This window comes from Homo sapiens, chromosome 7, assembly GCF_000001405.40.
Source record: "Homo sapiens chromosome 7, GRCh38.p14 Primary Assembly".
NCBI classification, from domain to species: domain Eukaryota; kingdom Metazoa; phylum Chordata; class Mammalia; order Primates; family Hominidae; genus Homo; species Homo sapiens.
In genome coordinates this window covers 76,177,157-76,194,743 of record NC_000007.14, presented here as the reverse complement: position 1 = coordinate 76,194,743, position 17,587 = coordinate 76,177,157, and the positions used below count along the sequence as shown (strand labels likewise).

Below are 17,587 nucleotides of genomic sequence, written 5' to 3'. Positions count from 1 at the left end.
GCCGGGCATGGTGGCAGGCACCTGTAATCCCAACTATTCAGGAGGCTGAGGCAGGAGAATCACTTGAACCCAGGAGGCGGAGGTTGCAATGAGCCTAGATAGCGCCACTGCACTCCAGCCTGGGTGACAGAGCAAGACTGTCTCAAAAAAAAAAAAAAAAAAGAAAAGAAAAAAAAATTAGCCAAGCATGATGGCAGGCACCTGTGGTCCCAGCTACTTGGGAGGCTGAGCTGGGAGGATCACTTGAGCCCAGGAGGTTGAGGCTGTAGTGAGCTGAGATCACATCACTGCACTCCAGCCTGGGCAACAGAGCGAGGTCCCGTCTCAAACAAAACAAAACAAAAAACAAAACCTGGTCGCTCTGCTGTCCCAATACCTTAAATACCCACTCTTTTCTGCTGGCCCAATCCATCAACATTCCCATGCTATCGGCCTCCTTTTTCTCTCCTCACTCCCTCCGGCACCTCCCTGATGCACCCCCCATGTCCAGCACTTTGCTGGATCATACTGGGGGACCCCTGTGGACCATGCAGCCTCCTTCTCTTCTCTTTGTGCCCCTCTGCCTAGCCCATCCAGATCTCTTTCTCTCCATCTCCCTCCCCTCCCCCAGCACATCTCCCTCTCTGTCTGCAGAGCCTGGGAAATTGAGGAGTCCCTTGTGGCAGGGCTGACCTTGAAGCAGATCTTTAATAAAAAATGAGCAGAGGCAGCAGCCTCCCCTGCTCGCCCCTCCTCCCTCCCAGCCTTCTACTCTCCTCGCCATTGCTCGTAAATCCACCATCAGGGGCCATTGCTCTGGGGTAAGCATTGCCCTCATTAGGGTCTTTTAAAAGCTGCGCATTCTTGGGACGTGGGGATGTGAAGGAAGAAAGCTTTTGTTGAGATCTGGGGATGTGATGTAGAAGGGGAGGGGGCTACACTTTGAGGCTGTGGCCTCTGCTGCTTCTGCCTAGAGCTTCACATGTGCCCCCCGGCCCTAGGACCCCCTCTCACCACCAAGGTGTTACACAGTCCTAATGGTCCAGCCACCATCCCAGCCTGAGGTCATCCTAGTCTGGGAAGGGATGGCTGTCAGCAGTAGCCTATGCCTCACCCACTTGGAGGAGCTTCAAATCAAGTCTCCTGCAGATCCAGGTCTGCTCTCAGCCTGAGCCCAGGAGTGACAGTGACGCACATCTTTGAAAAGTGCAGTAATCTGGCTGAGCACGGTGGCTCACACATGTAATTCCAGCACTTTGGGAGGCTAAGGTGGAAGGATCACTTGAGCCAAGGAGTTCGAGACCAGCCTAGGCGACATAGTGAGACCCTGTCTCTACTAAAAAAAATAAAAATTAGCTGAGTGCAGTGCACACACCTTCAAGCTACTTGGAAGGCTGGGGCAGGAGGATCCCTTGAGGCCAGCAGTTCGAGGTTGCTGTGAGCTATGATTGCATAACTGCACTCCAGCCAGGGTGACAGAGTAAGACCCTGTCTCTAAAAATAAATAAATAAGGCTGGGTGCGGTGGCTTATGCCTGTAATCCCAGCACTTTGGGAGGTCGAGGCGGGCTGATCATTTGAGGCCAGGAGTTCGAGACCAGCCTGGCCAACATGGCGAAACCCCGTCTCTACCGAAATTACAAAAATTAGCTGGGCGTGGTGGTGCCTGTAATCCCAGCTACTCAGGAGGCTGAGGCAAGAGAATCACTTGAACCTGGGAGGCGGAATTTGCAGTGAGCTGAATCAGGCCACTGCACTCCAGCCTGGGCTAAAAATGAGACCCTGTCTCAAAAATAAATAAATAAATAATAAAAATAAAATTTAAAAATGGAAACTGCTGTATTCCAGTGATTGTACTTCCTGCTGATTACCTCTAATCCCACAATGAGACCGTGAGCAAAGGACCAGCGTCCCATCTTACAGATGAGAACACTGAGGATCAGGGCGGTTCAGAGCTTGGCCACAGCCATTCAGTCCATAAGCATCCTGGGCAATGATTTGAGCCAGGATTTGTCTGACCCAAAGCCAGGCCTGCCCCTGGGCCAGTGGCCTTGGGGTTGTGCTCCATCTCATCTCTCTTCCTTGGGTCTGCGGCCCAGGCCCCTGCCCTGAGCAGGGCACACAGCTCTTCCCCCTTCCTGATCCCGGAACCTACCCAGGCCCTTGACGGCAGGCTGTGCTGGAGGGACAGCCCTCTCAGAACCAGGTTGTCAATTTCCCGACTCCTCAGCATGTTCCCCTCTTCCCTTGGACCTCTTGGGACTCTAGAGTCTGAAACCCCCTGAACTGTCCACACGGTGGGTGTGTGACCCTGGCTGGCCCAGCTACCCTGCCCAGGCCCCTAGGCCTTGAATAGGTCTTACAGGAGGTACAGCTGTGTGTATGAATGCATGTGCACAGATGAGTGTGTGCATGAGACCTGGGGGAAAAAAACGAATGAATGAATAAGTTCATGAATGATTTTGCAAATGAATGAATGAATGAATGAGGATGCATTCCAATGAATAAGTGAATGAGGTATTGAGTCAGTGAACTCTGCCTTCCAGGCAAGGCTGAGGCAGGGGCAGAGACTTCATGCTCACTGTGTTCTCTCTCCCCACGACCCCCACTGTGACCACCAAGTGTTCATGCTTCCCTTCCGGAAAGGAGAGTTGTCAGCGAGACAAGAATGCCAATCTGGGGACTACATCTCCCAGCATTCCTTGTTGGTATGGAGATGAACCATGTGACTAATTCTCACCCATGGAATGCAAGCAGATGTGACCACTTCCTGGAATAGTCCCTAGAAAGTAGATGTGCCCTCTCTGCTCTCTCCTTCCCCATTGCATTGGCTGCTGGCAGAATGCCCAGGATTCCAAGGCCCTGGGTTGGGTGGGGAGCCACAAGATGGAAGGAGCCTGGGTCCCTGAATCACCACATGGAGGAGAGCTGCCTGCTGACCACAAACATCAACTTAGGATTGTCACTTTGGGAGGCTGAGGCAGGAGGCTTGCTTGAGGCCAGGAGTTCGAGACCAGCCTCGGCAACATAGTAAGACTCTGCCTCTATTTCTCTAAAATTAAGTAAAAAATTAAAACAAAAAACAAAAACAAAACCTTAGGACTACCAGAGAATGAGAAATAGTAAGTAGTGAGAAGCTCCTGAAATGCTGGAGTTTAACTGTTACAGCAGCATTGCCTGAACACACTAGCACAAGCAAATTATTTGTCATCAAGCTATGTTTAGGCAGAGGTCCCCTGTAGGCTTGAGCCAAGGAACTTAGCCCAGAAATCTGGCTGGGCACAGTGGCTCATGCCTGTAATCTTAGCACTTTGGGAGGCCGAGGCAGGTGGATCACATAAGGTCAGGAGTTCGAGACCAGCCTGGCCAACATGGTGAAACCCTGTCTCCACTAAAAATACAAAAATTAGCCAGGCATGGTGGCAGGCACCTGTAATCCCAGCTACTCAGGAGGCTGAGGCAGGAGAATCACTTGAACCCGGGAGGCGGAGTTTGCAGTGAGCCGAGATCACGCCATTGCACTCTAGCCTGGCAACAGAGCCAGACTTCATCTCAAATAATAATAATAATAATAATAATCATCATCATCATCTCCCAGGCAGGGACTTGGAGATCCATGACAGGCATCTGTGACCGGGACCAGGCAGGACCTTCATCCTTTTCCTGTCAGCGGTAAGGACAGACAGCATCCCCTCCCAGCTTTCTCTTCACCTCTCATTATGCAGAAAGGAGCTAATGTCTCTGTTGAGTTAGGGGAGGGATTCAGGTGTTGCGGTTAAACATGATGGCTGACAAAACTCCTCTGTGGTGTCTAAAATCAAGAGAGTAGTTATTTGCAGGAGATGCTGACCAGAGGGGGCACAAGGAAGGTTGAGAATGTTCTGTTTCTTGAGCTGGGTGCTGGATGCATGGATATGTTCAATTTGTGAAAATGCACTGGGCTCTGTGTGTACAATTTCTATACTTTCTTTTATTTTAGAGACAAAGTCTTGCTCTGTCACCCAGGCTGGAGTGCAGTGGCACCATAATAGTTCACTGCAGCCTCGAACTCCTGGGCTCAAGTGATCCTCCTGCCTCAGCCTCCTGGGTAGCTGGGACTACAGGTGCACGCCACCATGCCTGGTTCATTTTTTAAGTTTTTTTGTTTTGTTTTGTTTTTGTAGAAATGAGGTCCTGCCATGTTGCCCAGGCCGATCTTGAACTCCTGACCTCAAATGATCCTCCTGCTTCAGCCTCCCAAATTGCTGGTATTACAGACATGGGCCACCATGCCCAGCCAGATTTCTATACTTTCTGCAATAAAAGTTTTTTAAAATGCCCAGTAGCTGGGTGTGGTGTCTCACGCCCGTAATCCTAGCACTTTGGGAGGCCGAGGCAGGTGGATCACCTGAGGTCAAGAGTTTGAGACTAGCCTGGCCAACATGGTGAAACCCCATCTCTACTAAAAATACAAAAAATTAGCCAGGTGTGGTGGCGCATGCCTGTAGTCCCAGCTACCCGGGAGGCTGAGGTAGGAGAATCACTAGAACCCAGGAGGCAGAGGCTGCAGTGAGCCGAGATCGCGCCAGTGCACTCTAGCCTGGATGACAGAGTGAAACTCTGTCTCAACAACAACAACAAAAATTGCCCAGCCCAATAGAGGGAAGGTTAGGATGAGGAGAGAATGGGGTGATGATGTGGGCAGTGGTAGAGGGCAGAGGACAATGGTGGCCTGAGGTGCAGCTCCTCTCTCTCTTTTTTTTCTTTTCTTTCTTTCTTTTTTCTTTTCTTTTTTTTTTTTTTTTTGAGAGACGGAGTCTCACTCTGTTGCCCAGGCTGGAGTGCAATGGCACGATCTCAGCTCACTGCAACCTCCCTCCGCCTCCCGGGTTCAAGTGATTATCCTGCCTCAGCCTCCTGAGTAGCTGGGATTACAGGTGCCTGCCACCATGCCTGGCTAATTTTTGTATTTTCAGTGGAGACAGGGTTTCACCATATTGGCCAGGCTGGTCTCGAACTCCTGACCTTATGTGATCCACCTGCCTCGGCCTCCCAAAGTGCTAAGATTACAGGCGTGAGCCACTGTGCCAGGCCCCCCGCCTCTTTCCTTGGCCATCACCTACTCATCATAGTCCCTTCATCCCATACTGGGGACCTGTGTCCAGGTCCACTGGGCAGGTGCCCGGCCCAGGGACCCTCACCCCCAAGGATTGTGCAGTGGGCTGTCTCTCCTTGGAGGCTGGGAGCACTGAACCTGGGTCCCCGTGTTCCGACTGGGGGCAAGATGCCAGCAGAGATAGCAGCTGAGGCTACCTTGGACAATGTGACCCAGTTTCATCTGCATCTGTCTGCCAGGAGAACAGATTCAGTCACCTGAATGTATTGCACACATCCACACCCACATGCCAGACTCACACACATCTACCATGTATTGTATATCATATATACATGCCACACACGCACAGCCATGCATCCCCCACGCTTTTCTACACGCCCCCCTCACACCCCATGATATGCTCCATGCACTGGCTGTATTTACACACCTCTTTCACCCCGTGAGAATCAAACTTCAGGCACACCCCACACCCATGCAGCTCCCAACATGCACAACACACACACTCCCTTATAACTAGACTGGCCAACATGGGGAAACCCCGTCTCTACTAAAAATACAAAAATTAGCCGGGCGTGGTGGCACATGCCTGTAATCCCAGCTACTCGGGAGGCTGAGGCAGGAGAATCGCTTGAACCCAGGAGGCAGAGGTTGCAGTAAGCCGAGATTGTACCACCGCACTCCAGCCTGGGAGACGGAGCGAGACCCTGTCTCAAAACAAAAATGAAAACAAAAACACATGGGCACCCATGCCTGTGCAGCCATGCCTAATATACCTGCCAATGCATTGGACCCTGCCTGTGCAGCCATGCCTAATATACCTGCCAATGCATTGGACCCTGGCCCGCCAAACTATCCTCAAAAAACACCCTGGCCTCCGAATTTTCAGGGAGATTGATTTGAGTAATAATTCCGTCTCCCACGTGGCATGGCTAGCTTCATGTCAATTACACTCTTTCTTTATTACAATGCCGTGGTCTCAGGGAATTGGTTTTATCTGTGCAGTGGGCAGGAAGAACCCATCGGGCAGCTACAACCCCCAGCCAGGCACAGTCCCAGAGTGAGCCCAGGGCAGCTATTGTCTTTATGGGATGGCCATCCTGTGCCAGGTGCCTCCTGGGCCTGGATGTGGGGTGGGGGAAGTTAGCAAGCTGAGGCTGAGAGTAGAAAATGTAGCCTGTAGAGGTGGCTATCCGAAGGAAAAGCACACCCACACTGACTTGGAGCCCCAGCTACCCAGAGACAGGAGGAGATGGACTGAAGTTTCCTTCATGAGGTCCTAGCCCGAGGCCCCATCTCTTCCACAAGGCCTTTCCTGGTTGTCCAAGGGGCCCCAGACTCCAGAGAAGCCCAGGCAGCAGAAGTCTTTTTTTACTTTTTTTTTTTTTAGAGACAGGGTCTCGCTCTGTCGCTTAGGCTGGAGTGCAGTGGTGCGATCATAGCTCACTGCAGCCTCAACCTCCTAAGCTCAAGCGATCCTCCTGCATCAGCCTCCCTGGTAGCTGGGACCACAAGTGTGCTAATTTTTATTTTATTTTATTTTGTCTTATTTTATTTTTTAGTAGAGACGGGGGTCTCACTATGTTGCCCAGGCTGGTCTTGGACTCCTGAGCTCAAGCAATCCTTCTGCCTCGGCCTCCCAGAGTGCTGGGATGACAGGCGTGAGGCACCTCACCTGGCTGTAATTCACGTTTTGTTTTTTTTTTTTTGTTTTTGTTTTTTGTTTTGAGACAGAGTCTTCCTCTGTCACCCAGGCTGGAGTGCAGTGGTGTGATCTCAGCTCACTGTAACCTCTGCCTCCCGGGTTCAAGTGATCCTCCTGCCTTAGCCTCCCGAGTAGCTGGAATTGCAGGTGCCCATCACCACGCCTGGCCAATTTTTGTATTTTTAGTAGAGATGGGGTTTTACCACATTGGCCAGTCTGGTCTCAAACTCCTGATCTCAAATGATCCACCCACCTCTCCCTCAAAGTGCTGGGATGACAGGCGTGAGCCACCGTGCCTGGCCTGTAATTCATATTTTATGTCCACATTCTCGCTCCACTCCTCCTGCAGGGCTATTTCCTTTATCCCTTTCTTTAAGTCTACTCATATTTGTACTAAGCTGTGTTCTAGGCAGTGCCGCCCAGGATGTGGTAGGCTCAATGCACTGGTTTCTAGCATTTCTGATACCCATATTCGCATATGTGAATTATTCATTATCCACAAAATGAACGTGTCTAAGTCATATTGGCACCCCTTGGAGATGCCTGGCTTGGCTCCCAGCACCAGGCCCTGCCCAGAGCTCCTGAGACAGTCTCACTCCCGCCCACAGCCAGGCTAATGACCACAGCCAGGTCAATGACCCCACTCCCTTACCCAGGAGAAGCACTTTGGGGTAGGGTCTGCTGGGGCTCAGAGGATTCAGGTGCCACCCACCCGTCAACGTGCTGTGTGACTGCAGGCTAGGTCTTCTACTCTGAGTCTGAGCTTGCTAATTTCCCCCACCCCACATCCATGCCCAGCAGGGCACAGCGTGCCCATCCCATAAAGACAGCAATAGCTGTCTTAGGCTCACTCCGGGACCGTGCCTGGCTGGGGGCTGTAGTCACCCAATGCGTTCTTCCTGCCCACTCCACAGACAAAACCAATTCCCTGGGACCACAGCATTACAATAAAGAAAGAGCGTAGGCCAGACGCGGTGGCCCACAGCTGTAATCCCAGCACTTCGGGAGGCCTAGGCGGGCGGATCGCCTGAGGTTAGGAGTTCAAGACCAGCCTGGCCAACATGGCGAAACCCCATTTCTACCAAAACAAAACAAAACAAAAATTAGCCAGGCATGGTGGTGGGTGCCTGTAATTCCAGCTACTCAGGAGGCTGAGGCAGGAGAATGGCTTGAACCCGGGAGGTGGAGGTTGCAGTGAGCCAAAATCGTGCCATTGTATTCCAGCCCAGGCAACAACAGTGAAACTCCATCTTAAAAAAAAAAAGAAAGAGTGTAATTGACATGAGGCTGGCCACCCCACATAAGAGATGGAATTACTACTCAAATCAATCTCCCCAAAAATTTGGAGGCCAGGGTTTTTTGAGGATAGTTTGGGGGGCCAGGAAGTGCACATCTGGGTGGGGATACATGGCCAGTTGGTGGGTCTGGATGAAGCAATCAGTCGTCAGAAATGCAAAAACCTGGCCAGGCGCAGTGGCTTATGCCTGTAATTCCAGTAGTTTCGGAGGCTGAGGTGGGAGAATTGCTTGAGCCCAGGAGTTTTTGACCAGCCTGGGCAACATAGCGAGACCCCACCTCTACAAAACTCAGCTGGGCATGGTGGCACATACCTGTGTTCCCAGCTACTTGGGAGGCTGAGGTGGGAGGATCACTTGAGCCCAGGAGGTCAAGGCTGCAGTGAGCCATAATTGTGCCACTGCACTGCAGCCCAGGCAACAGAATGAGACCCTGTCTTAAAAAAAAATAAAAATAAAAAAATAAAAATAAAAAAGGCAAGATGGGGGTTGGTTAGATCAGATCTCCTTCACTGTCATAATTTTCTCACTGTGGTAATTTTTGCAAAGGCGGTTTCAGGGCAGCGCCTCTCTGCCTCTCCATGTGTAATGTGGGGTGAACAGCCTCCCTCAGAGGCCTCCTGGGACTCTGTGAGATGGCAGATGGAAGATTCCAGGCGACAAGATGCTCTGCGTGCAGACATTTCCAGGGTTTGCTCTAGGGTTTGCAGCAGGAGCTGGGAGGGTCCCACTGCACCCCTCTTTTCTGAGCCAGACATTTTAGCCGAGCTCAGCCCAGCCTGGGGTATATCTGCCATCAGTCACCACTGTCAAAGCTTACCGTACCCAGCCCCCGACACATACACACCCAGGCACATGTCACTGCCTTCCCCCAACACAGAATCAGGCCCCAGCCCATGAAGGGAGCATTTTCAGTACCCGCAACCACGGCCCCAAACAGGCGACCTCCCTCCAGGGCTGCAGCGGAGTTAACCTAATTCCGGGCCTGCGGTCGGCCTGGCACACTGGCGCCGGCTCACAGCTCACAGCCAGCTGGGAGAATACAAACCAGAAGGATCCCGGGGCAGGGAGGGATTGGGGAGCCAGCAGGACGCGAAGGTGTTATTTTTAGGCAGCAAGGTGGGGCTTGAGGTGGATCTGGTGGCTTAGGGAGGAGGGGGCTCCACACAATGATGGGAGGCTCCAGTCAGAGGGACAGGGTGGCATGCGTGTGGCTTCTCCTTAGAGGTACCAGGCCGGCCTGGGGCTTCCAGGAAGGTGGGGAGGGGTCCGAGAATCGGAAAGGGGATTACCGTGGCTTCCTGCCAGAGCTGTCCCTGCTGGGCCTGGGAGAGACACAAAGCACACGCAGGGGTTTTTGGGACAAAGAGGCCAGCTAGGGGGAGTGAAATGGCTCTAAAGTGGGCAGAAGGTTGGGCATCGTGGCTCACACTTGAAATCCCAACACTTTGGGAGGCCAAGGCAGGAGGACTGCTTGAGCCTAGGAGTTTAAAACCAGCCTGGGGAACATAGCAAAGCCCTATCTCGACAAAAAAATAAAATGTTTAGCTGGGTATGGTGGCACATGCCTGCAATCCCAGCTGCTTGGGAGGCTGAGGTGGGAGGATTGCTTGAGCCTAGGAGGTCCAGGCTGCAGTGAGCTATGATTGCACCCCTGCACTCTAGCCTGGGAGGCAGAGCAAGACCTTATTTCAAAAATAAAATAAAATAAAATAAAATAAAATAAAATAAAATAAAATAAAATAAAATATAAAAATAGTGGGCAGGGCTGGGCACGGTGGCTTACGCCTGTAATCCCAGCACTTGGGGAGGCCAAGATGGGCGGATCATGAGGTCAGGAGATCGAGACCATCCTGGCTAACACGATGAAACCCCGTCTCTACTAAAAATACAAAAAAATTAGCTGGGCGTAGTGGCGGGCGCCTGTAGTCCCAGTTACTCAGGAGGCTGAGGCAGAAGAATGGCATGAACCCGGGAGGTGGAGGTTGCAGTGAGCCGAGATCGCACCACTGCACTCCAGCCTGGGTGACAGAGCGAGACTCCGTCTCAAAAAAAAGAAATAAAAAATAAAAATAAATAAAATAAAAATAGTGGGCAGCCCAGGCGCAGTGGCTCATGCCTGTAATCCCAGCACTTTGGGAGGCCAAGGTGGGCGGATCACGAGGTCAGGGGTTCGAAACCAGCCTGACCAACATGGTGAAACCCTGTTTCTACTAAAAATAAAAAATTAGCTGGGCGTGGTGGCGCACGCCTGTAATCCCAGCTACTCAGGAGGCTGAGGCAGAAGAATTGCTTGAACCCGGGAGGCGGAGGTTGCAGTAAGTTGAGATCAGACCACTGCACTCCAGCCTGGGTGACAGAGTGAGAGTCTGTCTCAAAATAAATAAAAAATAAAATAAAATAAAATAAAATAAATACCAAGGTGTCCGTGGGCTGTGTTCCTTCTGGAGGCTGTCGCAGAGAGCTCTTTTCCTTCCCTTTTCCACCTCCTAGAGGCTGGCTGCATCCCTCAGCTCATGGTTCCCTCCTCCATCTTCAGAGCTAGCACTGCAGCATCCTCAAATCTCTCTCTCTCTGTCTCTCTCTCTCTCTCTCTCTCTCTCTCTCTGGCCTGCATCTGGGGTCACATCTCCTTCTCTGATTCTGACCCTCCTGCCCACTTTTAGGAGAACCTTTATGATTACATTGGGCCCACTGGGATTTGTAGGAGAACCTTCCCATCTCAAAATCCTTAAATGGCCATGCATGGTGGCTCATACCTGTGATCCCAGCACTTTGGGATGCCGAAGCAGGAGGATCGCTTGAGCCTAGGAGTTCAAGACCAGCCTGAGTAACATAGTGAGACCCTGTCTCTACAAGACATTTTTTAAAAAATTAGCCAGGTGTGGTGGTGTGTGGCCGTAGTCCCAGCTACTTGGGAGGCTGAGGTGAGAGGACCACTTGAGGCCAAGAGTTCGAGGCTGCAGTGAGCTATGATTGTACCACTGCACTCCAGCCTGGTCAACAGATTGAGTCCCTGTCTCTAGAAAACAAACAAACAGACAAACAAAAACCAGGGTAATCATAAGGGGTTGCTGCATTAAATGCCAAGACCCACACACAAGTCCGGGAGCCATGTTAGAGTAAGGGGTTGACTTGATGACATGCTTTTTATTTTTAAATTTTTAAAAAATATTTATTTATTTATTGTTATTATTATTTGAGACAGAGTCTTGCTCTGTCGCCCAGGCTGGAGTGCAGTGGCATGATCTTGGCTCACTGCAACCTCCACTTCCTGGGTTTAAGCAATTCCCCTGTCTCAGCCACCCAAATAGCTGGGATTACAGGCATGTGCCACCATGCCCGGCTTTTTTTTTTTGAGATGGAGTCTTGCTCTGTCACTCAGGCTGGAGAGCAGCGGCACGATCTTGGCTCACTGCAACCTCCGCCTACCGGGTTCAAGTAATTCTCCTGTCTCAGCCTCCCGAGTAGCTGGGACTACAGGTGCCCACCACCACACCTGGATAATTTTTGTATTTTTAGTAGAGCTGGGGTTTCGCCATGTTGGCCGGGCTGGTCTCGATATCCTGATCTCAGGTGATCCGCCCGTCTTGGCCTCCCAAAGTGTTGGGATTACAGGCGTGAGCCAACGCGACTAGCCGCATATTTGAATTCTAATTTCACAAGGAATACTTCTTGTATATTCTGATCCTTATTAGGAGGGACTTCTCACTGTGCAATATTTCACTGTACAAAGTGTATTCGTGTGCTGGGGCTGGCAGAACAATGTACCATGAACGGAGCAGCTTAAACAACAGAAATTTACTGTCGCACAGCTCCGGAGCCTGGAAGTCTGAAATCCAGGTGCCAGCAGGGTTGCTTCCTATTGAGGGCTGTGAGGGAGGATCTTTTCCAGGCCTTTCCCAGAGCTTCTGGTGTTTGCTGGCAGTCTTTGGTGTGGCTTGGCTTGCAAAAGCATCACTGCATCTCTGCCTGTATTATCACATGGCCATCTTCTCCCTGGGTGTTGTGTCACTGTGGCTGTCTCTGTCTCTTCTCTCTCTCTCTCTTTTTTTTTAAATTTTTTTTTTCAAAGCATCGTACTCTGTTGCCCAGGCTAGAGTGCAGTGATACAATCATAGCTCACTGCAGCCTTGACCTCCTGGGCTCAAGCAATCCTCCCACGTCAGCCTCTTGAATAGCTGGGACTACAGGTGTGCATCACTGCACTTGGCTATTTTTTAGAGATGGGGTCTTGCTATGTTGCCCAGGCTGGCCTCAAACTCCTGGCCTCAAGTGATCCTCCCACCTCAGCCTCCCAAAGGGCTGGAATTACAGGTGTGAGACACCACACCACACCACACCATGCCAGCCCTCTGTTTCCTTTTTTTTTTTTTTTTTAATTTTGAGACAGAGTCTTGCTCTGTCACTGTCACCCAGGCTGGAGTGCATTGGAACGATCTTGGCTTACTGCAACCTCCACCTCCTGGGTTCAAGCAATTCTCCTGCCTCAGCCTCCCAAGTAGCTGGGATTACAGGCATGCACCACCATGCCCCACTAATTTTTGTATTTTTAGTAGAGATGGGGTTTTGCCATGTTGGCCAGGCTGACCTCAAGTGATTCACCCTCCTTGGCCTCCCAAAGTGCGGGGATTACAGGTGTGAGCCACCGTGCCTGGCCCCTCTTCTTTTCTTATAAGGACACCAGTCACATTAGATTAGGGGCCCACGCCACGCCAGCACGACCTCATCTTAACAAATGACATCTGCAAAGACCCTGTTTCCAAATAAGGCCATATTCTAAGGAATTGGGGGTTAGGACTTCAATGTATGACTTTTTAGGGACAAAATTCAACACATCCCACTAAATACATGGAGTAAAAAGTTGACAGTACACAATACACATTCCAAAGGCAATTTCCATCTCCACTCTAGAAGTTTGTCCTTCAAGACCTTTTTCTATTTGTTGATTCATTTATTTATTTGAGACAGGATCTTGCTCTGTCGCCCAGGCTGGAGTGCAGTGGCTCGATCATAGCTCCCTGCAACCCCAGGTCCTCAGCTCAAGTGATCCTCCCATCTTAGCCTCCCAAGTAGCTGGGACTACAGGCACACACCACCACACCTGGCAAAATTTTTTTAGTTTTGATAGAGACGAGGTCTCACTATGTTGACCAGGCTGGTTTCGAACTCCTGGGCTCAAGCAATCTTCCTGCCTTGGCCTCCCAAAGTACTGGGATTACAGGCACGAGCCACCGTGCCCAGCCTCTATGCTTTTATATTCAACTGCAAATACATTTTACCCCCATATATGGAATCCTACGATACACATCTGTTGTCATCTAATAGGCTGGGGAGAGGCTTTGGAGGCAGATCAGCACTTCGTTTATTAGCTTTGGCCTTGCGGAGAGAATAGGGAATAGTGAACCCACTGGGAAACCACTCCAAAGCCCTGCATTGGGACCCTCCCTTTGGGCCAAAGCTTGGTTGGGGAGGGGGCAGCTCTGTGGGTGTGTGCTGGGGGTCAGCACCTTATTCTTGGGCCCTTCGATCTCCTGCTCATCTGCAGGGAGGACGCTGGTTTTTTTGTTTGTTTGTTTTTGTTTTTGAGACGGAGTCTCACTCTGTCGCCCAGGCTAGAGTGCAATGGTGCAATCTCGGTTCACTGCAACCTGCATCTCCCGGGTTCAAGCAATTCTCCTGCCTCAACCTCCTGAGTAGCTGGGACTACAGGTGCACGCCACCACGCCCGGCTAATTTTTTTTTTGTATTTTTAGTAAAGACGGGGTTTCACTGTGTTAGCCAGGATGGTCTCGATCTCCTGACCTCGAGATCCGCCCACCTCGGCCTTCCAAAGTGCTGGGATTACAGGTGTGAGCCATGGCGCCTGGCCTACTGTGCTATTAAAATAATTACTCACTAGGCCACGTGAGGTGGCTCATGTCTGTAATCCCAGCACTTTGGTAGGCTGAGATGGGTGGATCACCTGAGGTCAGGAGTTCGAGGCCAGCCTGGCCAACAATGTGAAACCCCATCTCTACTAAAAATACAAAAAATAGTATGGCATGGTGGCGCATCCCTGTAATCCCAGCCACTCCGGAGGCCGAGGCAGGAGAATCGCTTGAACCCGGGAGGCAGTGGTTGCAGTGAGCCGAGATCGCGCCACTGCACTCCAGCCTGGGCGACAGAGCAAGATCCTGTCTCAAATAAATAAACAAATCAATGAATAGAAAAAGATCTCGAAGGACAAACATCTAGAATGAAGATGGAAATTGCCTTTGGAATGTGTATTGTGTGTAGGGTGCTCTCAACTTTTTACTCCATATATTTAGTGGGATGGGTTGAATTTTATTCCTAAAAATTCATGTATTGAAGTCCTAAGTCCCAGTTTCTCAGAATATGGCCTCATTTGGAAACAAGGCCTTTGCAAATGTCATTTGTTAAGATTACTGTTTTCCATGGGTGGGGTGGGGTTGGGGGGCTCCCAGGGGGGTCGCAGGAGAGGATCTGCAGACTGGGGCCACCACTGTTGATGAGTCAGTTCAGACATTTCCCCATCTCACAATCACATCTGCTGTGCTGGTACAAACCAGCCCCAGATCAGCCCACCTGGTCCTATCTCTCAGCATCTTGTTCTGCCTGACCCAGGGTGACCCCCTTAGACTTTGCGAGGAAACTTAAGCAACTAGAAGAAAATTAAGAGGAGGAAAAGAACTCATTTCTGGCTGGCCAGCTCTGGCTGATGCAGGAAGTTCGCCCCAAGTTATGAGTCCGTGGGGGCCAGGGCGCAGGCAGGGGCGGGATGTGGGCAGCCTCTGCGAGTGGGGAAACTGAGGAATTCCATCTCAAGCCCTACGAGATTAGGAACTGGGACCCACAGAGGCAAGCACCGGGAGACCCGGGCCCAGCCCCCTGTAGGCTAGAGCCTGCCAGCGCCTGGATGGGGATTTTAATTTTTTTATTTATTATTTATTTATTTATTTATTTTTATTTGTATTTTGAGATGGAGTCTCGCTCTGTCACCCAGGCTGGAGTGCAGTGGCACAATCTCAGCTCACTGCAAGCTCCGCCTCCTGGGTTCATGCCATTCTCCTGCCTCAGCCTCCCTAGTAGCTGGGACTACAGGCGCCTGCCACCACGCCCCGCTAATTTTTTTGTATTTTTAGTAGAGACGGGGTTTCACCATGTTAGCCAGGATGGTCTCGATCTCCTGACCTCGTGATCTTCCCACCTCCGCCTCCCAAAGTGCTGGGATTACAGGCGTAAGCCACTGCGCCTGGCCTATTTTTGTTTTTGAAACAGAGTCTTGCTCTGTCTCCAGGCCCCCTGCAGTGTCACGAGCTTGGCTTACTGCAACCTCCACCTCCCGGGTTCAAGCAATTCTCCTGCCTCAGTCTCCCGAGTAGCTGGGACTACAGACACACGCCACCATGCCTGGCTAATTTTTTGTACTTTTAGTAGAGATGGGGTTTCACACTGTTGGCCAGGATGGTCTCAATCTCTTGACCTCGTGATCTGCCCGCCTCAGCCTCCCAAAGTGCTGGGATTACAGGAGTAGGCCACTATGCCCGGCCTCTGGATGGAGATTACTGCAGACATCCATAGTGGCTGCAGGGCAGGCTCCAGCTCTCCCTCCTTGTCCCCAGCAGCTTCCTCCCACCCTGAGTTTGGAGTAATTGATCCCTATCCCCTGGGCATGTCAGGCAGGAATGTCCTGTCCCTGCTGTCCCCACAGGGCAGTGGAGCCAGGAGGGAGTCAAGGTTACCTGGTTAATGGAAGTTTCCCTGACAATTCATCTTGTGGGGCACCACCTTGCTCCTCTCTCTGTTTTTAAATTTTAAGACAGGATCTGGCTTTTTGGCCAGGCTGGAGTGCAGTGGCATGATCATAACTCATTGCAGCCTCCATCTCCTGGGCTCAGGCAATCCTCCTGCCTCAGCCTCCCAAGTAGCTGGGTATATGGGTGATATGCACCACCATCCCCGGCTAATTTTTAAATTTTTTGTAGAGACATGGGAGGTGGGGGGCAGTCTCACTATGTTGCCCAGGCTTGTCTTGAACTGGGCTAAAGGGATCTTCCCACCTGGGCCTCCCAAAGCGCTGGGATTACAGGCGTGAGCCACCGTGCTTGGTCTCTGCCTTGCTTCTCTTGGGCAAGATGACAGCTTCTGCACTTCCTGCACCGATACTGTGTCTCCGGTTTCCACCGCCCTCCTGGATCCACTCCGGCCTCCCTTCTCGCCGTCTGAAGGCGGCTGTCCCTCCTGCCTAGATGAGCAGAGACCAGACAGAGCCGGAAGCTGGATTTGGCTCTGGAATGCTAATGAGCATTCTGCCGACCGTGACCTCCCGGGGCTGGAGCAGGGCTGGTGCAGCCTCAGCCTCTGGCTCCCTCTGCAGGCAGCAGGCGGGAACTGCGGGGGAGTTGTGGCCTGCGGGAGACCAGGTCCTCCTCGTGGAGGTCAGGGTTGTTCTAGGTTACGCTGTTCATCCCGTCCGCGATCGCAGACGAGACTCGAGACTTGCTTTCTTTATAATTACCCAGCGTGGCTGGGTGGCCCCAGGACTTAACAGCAGCTTCTTTGCTGGATGGACTCTTCTGCTGTCTAAGTACCTTCGCCCTGGGCGCCCCCTACTCCCACACTCTGTTATTTAAAGACTGGTTCTCCACCTGGTGGGTGGCTTATGCCTGTAATCCCAGCACTTTGGGAGACTGAGGTGGGAGGAATCCAGGAGTTGGAGACCAGCCTGAGCAACATAGAGCGACCCCGACTCTACAAAAAAAAAAATTAGGTGTGGTGGCATATGCCTGTAGTCCCAGCTACTCAGGAGGCTGAGGCAAGAGGATCACTTGGGCCTGGAAGGTGGAGGCTGCAGTGAGCTATGATTGTACCACTGCACTCCAGCCTGGGAAACAGAGGGAGACCTGATCTCAAAAACAAAACAAAGGCCGGGCGCTGTGGCTCATGCCTGTAATCCCAGCACTTTGGGAGGCTGAGGTGGCCGGATCACCTGAGGTCAGGAGTTCAAGACCAGCCTGGCCAACATGGTGAAACCCCGTCTCTGCTAAAAATACAAAAATTAACCGGGCATGGTGGCAGGCACCTGTAGTCTCAGCTACTCAAGAGGCTGAGTCAGGAGAATTGCTTGAACCCAGGAGGCTGTGGTTGCAGTGAGCCAAGACTGCACCACTGCACTCCAGCCTGGGAGACAGAGTGAGACTCTGTCTAAAGAAAAAAAAAAGAAAGAAATAGTGGCCAGGCACGGTGGCTCACGCCTGTAATCACTTTGGGAGGCCCAGGCAGGAGATGGCTTGAGTCCAGGAGTTTGAGAACAGTCTGGGCGATATGGCCAGACCCTATCTCTAAAAAAATAAAATCAATCAACCAACCAATCAATTAATCAATCAATCAAAAAATTAGCTGGGCATGGTGGCACACACCTGTGGTCCCAGCTATTCGGGTGGCTGAGGCACAAAAATCGCTTGATGGCAATTTGGTGCTGCTCCTGACCCTGGGTGCTGAGCAGGCCCGGTGC

The 17,587-nt window shown here is 51.4% G+C and overlaps 2 annotated features.

The window, feature by feature from the left end:
• Positions 2,579 to 2,873: an enhancer, noted in NCBI's record as "tiled region #5015; HepG2 Activating DNase unmatched - State 10:DNaseD, and K562 Activating DNase matched - State 8:EnhW". NCBI's record gives its function as "activates a minimal TATA promoter and a strong SV40 promoter by Sharpr-MPRA in HepG2 and K562 cells {active_cell/tissue: HepG2 | K562}" and the evidence as "EXISTENCE:reporter gene assay evidence [ECO:0000049][PMID:27701403]".
• Positions 8,554 to 9,219: an enhancer, noted in NCBI's record as "H3K27ac-H3K4me1 hESC enhancer chr7:75814843-75815508 (GRCh37/hg19 assembly coordinates)". NCBI's record gives its function as "activates a minimal SCP1, AML or CMV promoter by ChIP-STARR-seq in primed H9 embryonic stem cells {active_cell/tissue: H9 hESC(primed)}" and the evidence as "EXISTENCE:reporter gene assay evidence [ECO:0000049][PMID:30033119]".